This window comes from Homo sapiens, chromosome 1 (genome assembly GCF_000001405.40).
Source record: "Homo sapiens chromosome 1, GRCh38.p14 Primary Assembly".
Taxonomy (NCBI): domain Eukaryota; kingdom Metazoa; phylum Chordata; class Mammalia; order Primates; family Hominidae; genus Homo; species Homo sapiens.
In genome coordinates this window covers 224,023,673-224,034,349 of record NC_000001.11, presented here as the reverse complement: position 1 = coordinate 224,034,349, position 10,677 = coordinate 224,023,673, and the positions used below count along the sequence as shown (strand labels likewise).

Below are 10,677 nucleotides of genomic sequence, written 5' to 3'. Positions count from 1 at the left end.
AGAGATTAACGAGAATAATAATAAAATGAAACAGTTATAGCAAGATGGCCACCATCACTGCTCTTGCATTTTGGGGCTATTATGAAGTACAATAAGGGTTCTTTAAACACAAGCACTGTGATATCTCAACAGGTGATCCAATAACCAGGACGGCTACTGAGTGACCAAGGGGCGGGTAGTGTAGGACTCGCTTGACAAAGGGAGGATTTGCATCCCAGGCAGGACAGAGCAGGACGGTGTGAGATTTCATGACACCACCCAGAATGGCACACAATTTAAAACTTATGAATGGTTTATTTCTGGAATTTTCCACTTAATGTTTTCAAACCAAAGCTGACTGTGGGTAATTGAAACTGTAGAAGATGAAACTGTGAATACGGGGGGACTACTTTATGAAGAAGATAGGGTCACATGGAGAATACAGTTAGTGTGATTCTTGAAACTTTTAAGATTTATCTGAAAAATTTGTTTCTATGGAGTACTATACACAGCAACAGAAGAATAGAACTTTTTATTAGGGTACATAGGAATGTAGTAATGTAATTGTATTTTATAATCATTTATGTCTTCACATGGCTTCAGTCATTAATAATACTACTTTTCTTCTAAGTTACTAGGACTTGGTACTGTCTGAAATCATTGTTCATATCTTAAACTGATTTAAGAAACAAAGCAATTCTGTTTGCATTCAACCAAGTAAAAGCATTTCTTGTCAATATAGTAAGTCAGATAATTTTGTTAACATGTCCAATTATTTAAATTCCTTTAAAATCTTCATTTTGAAATGATTTGCCAGATTTTAAAAACAAAGGTAATTTTTATTCTAGGTTTTTATCATGAAAAATGTATCTATGTCCATAAAGAAAGCACAAAAGAAGTAAGTATTCTATTATAAATAAGAGAGTATCTTGGATTGTTTCTGTTGAATATGGAGTCACATTAAATAAATGTATTAATAAAGTTGCATAAAACACATTTCTTTTGCAATATCAGATCTATGGTTCACATTCTGACAGATAATAGCATATGAGGAGCTTTTGAGGCAGTGATTCTCCATTGTGTGTGCTTGCATGTGCATGTGGTATGTGGCTGTGTATTTGTGCACACATTGGTGTGTGTTGTGTGTATGGTGTATGTGTGTTGTATGTATGGTGTGTATGTATGGTTGTGCATGTATTTGTGCACACATTGGTGTGTGGGATGTATGGTGTGTGGTGGCATGTGGTATATGTGTGCAGTGTGTGGTTCCTGCCTACCTGTACATATCTGAGTCAACAGCAGGGCTATTTAAACCAAGCATGGACTCCTGCAGTCATACGCATTTTCTCTGTGTTAGCATGAACCCCTGATGCTGATGGGAATGTGTCCTCCCTGTGGCGTGTTTTGGAGGGCAGGGCATCTGTGAGCCCTCTAATTCCACATAAAGAGTGGCTAACATGAAATTAGTAATTGGGTTGGGTTTGTGCAGAGCCATGTGAACTCTTTCCCTGCCTTTCTTTTGCCAAGTTGGGCTAAAGCTTTTTCATGAGCCATAAAACAAACCAGAGAGCTTCAAGCTGTTTCCTGTTTCTTTACTAGGATCCGGGAAGTTGAGTTCCTTTTATAGTCCTAGAAACTCTGCATTTGCTTTATTTTGCAACAATTGGGGAAAATAATTTAGGGAATTACTGTCTATCATATGTTATTTCAGGGTAAGTTAAATATTCCAGAAATGTTTGTAGATGCTCTGAAACTAGTCCAGCTTCCAAGAAACTGAAGGATTAGATTCTGAGAAAGAAAACTTAATCTGTTTGGTTATGGTTAGTGGGTATAGAATGAATCAGATCCTTAATATACACTCGAATACACCATTAGACGATTATTTGACAGAATCTAACCTAGTTTGTAAAAAACAAAATTTAGTGCTCATGAAAGACCATTAAATATTTCATCTGCTCTGTTGCCATACTGATTACAGAACAGAGGATCCCATCCAAGCTAGCATATACAGGAAAGGAGGATCTTATTGTGAGGCTGTGGGGATGTTCCCTGGAATCCTAGGAACCAGGACCTAACAAGGCTGAGAGGGACCAGAACTAGGACTGGGTGCTGGTGTCCCTGCACCACGTCATGTCTCCACACCCTCACCTGGTATAGATCAAGTGCCTGCTGCTTGTCCATGCTGGCTGGTGTCTCACTGCTTCCGAGGTTACATGCTGTGGTTCTAGGTCCAGACATGCTCTTTGTGGTCTGCTCTGTGAATCAGATTTAATTTCCTTTTGTGAGATGGGTGGTGACCTTGGAAAGTGTCTGCTACACCATCGTGTGGAATATCAGCTGTGATGGATTTCAGATTATAATCTATATCAAAATGAGTGTTTCCTTTCCCCAGAGTTCCCAGGAAAATGTTTTCCACATAGCAGGCACTCAGTCAACATATTTGGATGTTTTAAATGAGTATATTTTGTTGAGTTGTGCACCTGTCAGGGCGATTGGGGGTGACGCACAGAAGCACATGAGCCTCTGAGTGTATCGGCTGTTAGAGACAAAGGTGCTATGACTCCAGCTGCTTTCTCTAGGACATCTCAAGTCACCTGTTTGGAATTTGAGACCAATCATCTCATGTTTTCTATTATTGTTTTCTAGCTTACTTATCTCTACAACTTTGACCTGAAAATCTGTAGATTTTAAATATTTCAAATATGGAGGATGAAGATGGAGTTTAAAATGACTTCTGAAACCTAATGTGCTAATCTATACAAACCAATACAGGGTATATCATGGAAGAAAAACATCTAAGAGAATAGCAGCAGTGTTTACAGTACTGAAAATAAATTGTTTCATTTTCTTCCTTCAGTTCTTGGACCTGTGGTTCTAAGCACCAGTTTTTTTGGTGTTTTGGGTTCTTGGCATCCGTGCTCCCAGCCTGAAAGCTGCCCATGGTCACATCCAGCACTTGCCTTCAGCCCTCTCCATCCCAATGCTGGTTTTCAGAGGCACCTTCTTGCTACCGAAGCGCCTCTCCCAGCCCTGATCCTTGTGGTTGAGCATACTTCCAGCCTGGGCAGTGCATGGCTGCTCTGGAGAGAAATCCCATGTTATACTTCAAACTCGGGCAGTGCATGCCTCCCCTGCAGAGAAATCCTGTGTTTCAACTAGATATTTATAACACCTACATCCTTACAATGCAGTTAAGCAGATGATTTATGTATTTTTAGTTGCGTAGCCTAGAATGAATCCAGTTCTTTTATGATCTTAGCTTTAACGTCGTCCACACCCCAGTTTGTCCCCAACAAAACAAACCAGCAAGATATTTAATAAATATTTGTCTTTGTCATTACTTCAGCAGGTTGTAAAAAATGTCAGTTAACGGTGTCTCAGGTATACATAAACAGCTTAAATTATTAGCATTGCTACAATTTTACTATACTCTCATCTAAATCTAAAGTCAGTCTTCAAAATAAAAACAAATTGTCCTTTGCCAAAAATTTTTTTAATCGCACAATTAATTGACATTAACTGCCAATTCTTTTTGGCTAATTGACTAATTTTAACTTCTGTGTTGCTCTTCCAGAGGCATGGCTATTGCACCTTGGGAGAAGCCTTTAATCGGTTAGACTTCTCAAGTGCAATTCAAGATATCCGAAGGTTCAATTATGTGGTCAAAGTAAGTGTTCTATTTCAAAAACTACTTTGATGACTCTTTTGAACAACTATATTTTGAAGATTGTAAGTGTACAACGTTTAAGATGCTTTTGGCAGCTTGAAGGTGTGCCTGTTTGCTGTGAATTAATCGAAAAACAGAAGGGAACAAGTTCAGGAGAAAACAGTGAGGTTGGAGGATTTCTCCAGTATTGGTGGCAGAGGTTGCAGAGCCTCAGTGGGAGCAAACACTCATTTGCCCTGTGGCTCTGTGGTTGCTGAGGATGCCACAAGGTGGTCCCTTGGGGGTTGTACCATGTACCTACATACTGTGTCAGTGATAGAACGGTCGTGGGATCTTTACCTGATGATTTCACGAATGTTTTCTGCTTCGTGTTTTTCACAGGGAATGAGGCTTGTGTCACAGAGGAAGAAGTAGCTAATAGAAAACAGGAATTTCATACAAAATAGAATTCCACAAAAGCCTTATTGCATTAATGATACCCTTTTGGAAGAAATTTTTATCTTGGGCCACACTAAAAAAGAAAGGATCTTAGCCATATATTCCATTAATTGTTTGCTTTTGTCCAAAGATTAATTACTATGTGGTTTATGCACCTTCATTCTATTATGGATAAAATAGAAGCTATAGTTTATGAAGCTATTAATTTTGTGTTTCTAATGGTTCTGTGAGACATTGGAAAAATGTTTCTTTTAATTGCTTTTAGGCATTTGAAAGTGCTACTGGGAGGACAGAAAATTTAGGGAGTTAAATAATTGTAAGCTTTAGATAATGTTATTTGTTCAGTTTGGTTCTGAGCAGAATTTCCAGGGCTGCTGATGTAACTACTACTTACAACTCCTGTTGTGCTCCATGCTTCACTGAAGCCCAGCCACCACATGCAGGCTGGACTTCCCCGGTGTTTTCTGAGTCCTCCTTTAGATATTTACACACTGGCCAGCAGGGTGTTCTCGATAGGTACCTTTCTTATAGATGATGAAACGCAGATTTGACTCAGCCTTGTGGAAATTTTCAGGACTTAAGTAGCTGGGAAAAACATCAGCAGAGAGGTCTGTTTAGCAGTAACTATTTCTCCATGTAGCTCTCTGATAGTTCAGACCATACTGAGTTGCTTTATAGTAGCAATTCTTGACCATCTGTCTACATAAAAGGATTTAATTCCTGGTGTGAGTGAGAGAGTAGGATGGAGCACAGGAGGAAGTCATTGGCTCCTGGTGGTTTCTGTGCTGGGTGCCCTGCTCTCTCATCTTTGGTCACTGACTCTGGAGAAGGTGCGAGTACTCTGTGCTTTGTCAGAGGGGGAATCCATAGACCAGGACCAGCATTTTATCAGTTTCAGTCATTTGGACGACTGCATAATTTGTTTTTTGTCTGTGTACCACATACTACTATAATTTGCTGGGTAGCTTTTCTTCAAATTTACTTTTTTAAACAGAAATACCTACTTTAGCCTCATCCTAAACACTAATACCTGTGAAATGGTAAATTTTCTGTCGGTCGTTTGTCTAGTACATATAAAATAAATGCATAACTATAAAAATTAAAATGTGCTGTGCACTCATGTACCAACTAAACTTACCTTGCAAACCTCTTGAGAAGGGCTGTGTTTCTCCAAACCACCTCTCAGAGGTGGAGCGAGGGAACTGGTGAGCTTAGGAAGCAAAAGGGCTGCATTGTTGCATGGCTGTCCCGGCACCCTCACAGGTCTGTGCATCTCTGTTGATTGCTGCCTTCTAAGCAGGGCCTTGCTTGGCTCATCTGTGCTCCTGCTCTGTGGGAATCCCACCTTCCCTCTCCTGCAGTCGCTCTGGACCTTGCACACCATTCTTCACAAGTCCAGCAAAGTTACCTCTAAAAAGTGATTTGCTCATGCTTACCTTCTGCTAAAAACAAAAACAAGAAGCAGCCTTTGTGACTGTGGTAAAGCCTGAACCTGTGTCTTGCCTTGGATTGGGCTCCTCCATGTCCCCATCCCAATTCTTGCCCTCCCTGGCCCATGCCCAGTGCCCTCTTCTGTTGGCTTTCTTTCAGTGTGTGCTTTTTTTTTTTTACTTTATCATATGCATTTATCATACATACTGTGCAGGTATTTGGTATTTTTTTGCTGTTTTAAATGTTTATAGCAACACTTACTACAACAACTGAGAGGATTGTCTTGCAGTTCTACTAAGTAATTTGATTTTCCATAATTTAGGCTAAGTTGTCCGTAATGTCATGCAGTATTATTAGAATACCTATAAATAAGAAATGTAGAAGCATTTTTTTAAAATACTTGATAAAAGGTTTCCTTTTTTCTAATGGCATTTAGTAATATCTGCCCTTAAGAATTTGTGTGAAAAACTTAATGTGTATCTTTTTTTTTTTTTAGATGGAGTCTCACTCTGTTGCCCAGGGTGGAGTGCAGTGGCACGATCTCTGCTCACTGCACCCTCTGCTTCCTGGGTTCCAGTGATTCTCCTACCTCAGCCTCCTGAGTAGCTGGGATTGCAGGCATGCACCACGATGCCTGGCTAATTCTTTTTTGTATTTTTAGTAGAGATGGGGTTTCGCCATTTTGGCCAGGCTGGTCTTGAACTCCTGACCTCAAGTGATCCACCTGCCTCGGCCTCCCAAAATGTTGGGATTACAGGTGTGAGCCACCATGCCCAGCTTGTATCTTTCAACTAATGTTTTATGTAAAATCATTTTTTCCATCTAAACAGCAATTTTAAACTGAGACTAATCAATAATTACTACACAGTCTTAGGATAAAAGTTAGTAATAGAATTTAGTGTTCAATTACAGATTGTTCCAGTTGCCAAAATAAAGATAAGTAGTTTGGAATGGAAGTTTCGTTTTTACTCTAATCTTTGAAGTTGAGTTTGAGCCAGATGTCTTGTTGGAGGCATAAAATGGCCCCACCTTTTGTTCACTGTCCAGGGGCAGATGCTCTTCACTCAAGGCAGGAGGAGCCCATCAGTGCTGGCGTCGCTGAGCACCTCCTGTGTGCAGATCAGTGTACCTTGTCTTTTCTAACTAGTGCTTTCAGGAAACTTTGAAATCCAGTTCTAGTCACATTCCCACCATGAAATCTTGTTTGCCAGTGATCACAAGGTTGTAGCAATACCAACTCAAGCCTACCTGGCTGGGACCTTGGCCTCGCCACCCCCATCATGTCAGCAGCATTCCCTGGCCCTTAGGTACGCCAGTGGTCACGTGTTTAAGTTGTCTGCGTCCCCATCCCAGTTGAGCCCCAGGAGCAGGGGCTTGGTTTGTTCACTGCTGTTCACCTACTGCTGAAAATAACACCCCCTTTGTCAAAGTGGAGTAAGTGTGTCCCAACTGCAGTGAGGAGCTGCACTTCCATGAACTCGGAGGTGCCCAGCAAACCCAGGATGGCTGTAAACACAGAGAGGGAGACCAGTACCCAAAAGCTGTCTGGAGGAAGTAGAACTGGGTCCTGAGCCTATAGGTTAATGTGACTGTGGTTTTTACACATTTGTTATCATTCCCTTGGAGTCCTGGGCTTGCTTATAGCACTGAGAAGAACAGCCTGCCCCCTTGCCCCTCTGGCAGCCAGGAGGTGACTTCTGACAGCCAGGCATGAACAGCCCGAGGCTTGGGAGGTGCATGCAGGGCAGTGCACGGTGTGAAAGCTTCCTGAAAGCTGCACGGTGTGCAACTGAAATTTATAAAAATGTTAAATATGCTGTGTTTCCTAAAGTACACACATCTGTAGGAAAAAAGTTTTCAGAATCGTAAAGTTTATATATCTAATTTTAGTTATTTGATAAATTAACTTATCTGAAGTACTTCATTCTCTACCTGTGGCAGACCAATTAGATAGTACATCCAGTGTCACATACTTTCAGGGGTAGTGTATTTTTAGTTTAGTTTCTTGCCATCATTTATTTTTATGTTTTCATTTGCTTTAGAGGTAGGCGAAGAGTCGGTCTCTCTTGTCTTTATTCAAAAGTTTGTGTCCCTGGGCATTGCTCTGCCCCTCCAAGACTCCCCAGTCCTGTTTCCTTTAGCCCATCTGCTCCTCATGTCTGGAGATGGACTCCTGCTTCGCAGTATCCCAGGGATCTCTTAAATGTGGAAAGGTGGCCAGGTGCGGTGACTCATGCCTGCAATCCCAGCATTTTGGGAGGCCGAGGCAGGAGGATAACTTGAGCCCAGGAGTTTGAGGCCAGCCTGGGCAACATAGGGAGACCCTGTTTTTACAAATAATAATAAGCAAATAAGGAAAGACATCTCAGGCTAGAATCTCTGGCTATATGAAGATTTTTTTTCAAATTTTTTCGCAATTTCTACTAATGACTACTCCATAGTAGCAACTTAATAGCAGCAGCCTCACAGCAGCGCATGGGAAAGATGCTTAGTGAGTGACCCTGAGCCCTCCCAGGCGTGGACTCGAGGGTGAGGCAGGGAGGGAGAGAGGCTCTGCAGCCACACGGCCGCTGTTGGAATTCTGTCTCTTTCTTATTTATTTACTCAGGGATCTTAAGCATATGACTTCATCATCTCATCCATAGTATCTGGTAGATTTTAGCATCTACCTCAGAGCACTGTTATAAAGATTAGATTAGTTCCATCATAGGAAGCTCTTGGAACAGTCTGTACTCTGTGTTAGCCACTATTTTGATTTTCTTTTGAGGAGGATTTAGGCAGAGGGATGACAGCTGCACGGAGATCCATTTATGACCCAAGAGGTAAAGACAAGAAAATGGGGCCCAGAGAGATGGGCTGAAGGTCACAATGGAATCAAGGACAGAGACCAAAAATGTAGCTGTCCTGACAGCCGTGAAGAGCTTTTTCATTACGACTTTATTTCCTAAGTCTATAAACTTTGATTTTCCTCTGATGTAAATTAAGTGACTTTCTTAAATGCGTCATATGACTTTTTTTTAAATTTTTTAAATTATACTTTAAGTTCTGGTATACATGTGCTCAATGTGCAGGTTTGTTACATAGGTATACACATGCCATGGTGGTTTGCTGCACCCATCAACCCATCATCTACATTAGGTATTTCTCCTAATGCTATCTGTCCCCTAGCCCCCCACCCCCCCAACAGGCCCTGGTGTGTGATGTTCCCCTCCCTGTGCCCATGTGTTCTCATTGTTCAGCTCCCACTTATGAATAAGAACATGTGGTGTTTGGTTTTCTGTTCTCGTGTTAGTTTGCTGAGAATAATGGTTTCCAGTTTCATCCATGTCCTTGCAAAGGACATGAACTCATCCTTTTTTATGACTGCATAGTATTCCATGGTGTATATGTGCCACATTTCCTTTATCCAGTCTATCACTGATGGGCATTTGGGTTGGTTCCAAGTCTTTGCTATTGTGAACAGTGCTGCAATAAACATACGTGTGCGTGTGTCTTTATAGTAGAATGATTTATAATCTTTTCATCATACTACCTGACTTCAGACTATATTACAAGGCTACAGTAACCAAAACAGCATGATACTGGTACCAAAACAGATATATAGACCAATGGAACAGAACAGAGGCCTCAGAAATAACGCCACACATCTACAACCATCTGATCTTTCACAAACCTGAGAAAAACAAGCAATGGGGAAAGGATTCCCTATTTAATAAATGGTGTTGGGAAAACTGGCTAGCCATATGCAAAAAACTGAAACTGGACCACTTCCTTACACCTTTATACAAAAATTAACTCAAGATGGATTAAAGACTTAAACATAAGACCTAAAACCATAAAAACCCTACAAGAAAAGCTAGGCAATACCATTCAGGACATAGGCATGGGCAAAGACTTGATGTCTAAAACACCAAAAGCAATGGCAACAAAAGCCAAAATTGACAAATGGGATCTAATTAAACTAAAGAGCTTCTGCATAGCAAAAGAAACTATCATCAGAGCGAAGAGGCAACCTACAGAATGGGAGAAAATTTTTGCAATCTATCCATCTGACAAAGGGCTAACATCCAGAATCTACAAAGAACTTAAACAAATTTACAAGAAAAAAACAACCCCATCAAAAAGTGGGTAAAGGATATGAACAGACACTTCTCAAAAGAAGAAATTTATGCAGCCAACAAACATGAAAAAAAGCTCATCTCTGGTCATTAGAGAAATGCAAATAAAAACCACAATGACATACCATCTCACACCAGTTAGAATGGCTATCATTAAAAAGTCAGGAAACAACAGATGCTGGAGAGGACATGGAGAAATAGGAACGCTTTCACACTGTTGGTGGGAGTATAAGTTCAACCACTGTGGAAGACAGTGTGGTGATTCCTCAAGGATCTAGAACCAGAAATACTATTTGACCCAGCAATCCCATATGACATTATAAAATAATGACCTGGCAAATTAGATGGAACTGTTGAAAAGGGCTGTTTTTAAAATTTCAGATCATATTGCTAATCAGGCTTTTGTTTGCTCTGGTGAGTGTTGTTTTAAGCAACACAATCCAATGCTAATTTACTGTTGTATAATAATTTATTCAGTAGGCCCTGCTATATCCCAAGCACCTGGCAAGTAGTAGGCACTTGTTATTCCTAAAATGAATGAGTGACTGAGCATACAAACCAACTATTGTATACATAAATGTTTTCTAAGTTACTCCAATTATTTTTTTTTTTTACCACAGTTAAACTTCTTCATAAGTTCTACTTGAAGTAGGAACTATTAAGATACTCTAAGATAATTACATTTGTGCTGATAGTTGTACTGCACCTACAGGTTACTTTTTTTTTTTTTTTCAAGCAAACTGCATAGCTAGAAGCAGAGGAAGTTATTTCCACTTTATTTTTTTATTTTGTATTTTTCTGAGACAGAGTCACTTTGTCGCCCAGGCTGGAGTGCAGTGGTGTAATCTTGGCCCACTGCAACCTCCGCCCCCCGGGTTCAAGTGATTCTCCTGCCTCAGCTTCCTGAGTAGCTGGGATTTCAGGCACCTGCCACCACACCTGGCTAATTTTTGTATTTTTAGTAGAGAGGGGGTTTTGCCATATGGGTCAGGCTGGTCTTGAACTCCTGACCTCAGGTGATCTGGCTGCCTCGGCCTCCCAAAG

General features: G+C 40.7%; 1 pseudogene across 1 annotated transcript in view, besides 2 other annotated features; it reads right to left on the bottom strand.

The window, feature by feature from the left end:
* Positions 1-490: 490 nt before the first annotated feature.
* The window catches only part of SEPTIN7P13 (septin 7 pseudogene 13), a 41,130-nt pseudogene continuing 30,943 nt past the window's right edge, over positions 491-10,677 (bottom strand). Inside the window, 3 exon segments of the transcript NR_136593.1 lie at positions 491-3,110; positions 4,479-4,669; positions 5,223-5,526. The product of NR_136593.1 is annotated as a septin 7 pseudogene 13, transcript variant 4 (transcript).
* Positions 4,409-4,468: an enhancer, noted in NCBI's record as "active region_2594". NCBI's record gives its function as "activates an Ori minimal core promoter by ATAC-STARR-seq in GM12878 lymphoblastoid cells {active_cell/tissue: GM12878}" and the evidence as "EXISTENCE:reporter gene assay evidence [ECO:0000049][PMID:35858748]".
* Positions 4,579-4,648: an enhancer, noted in NCBI's record as "active region_2593". NCBI's record gives its function as "activates an Ori minimal core promoter by ATAC-STARR-seq in GM12878 lymphoblastoid cells {active_cell/tissue: GM12878}" and the evidence as "EXISTENCE:reporter gene assay evidence [ECO:0000049][PMID:35858748]".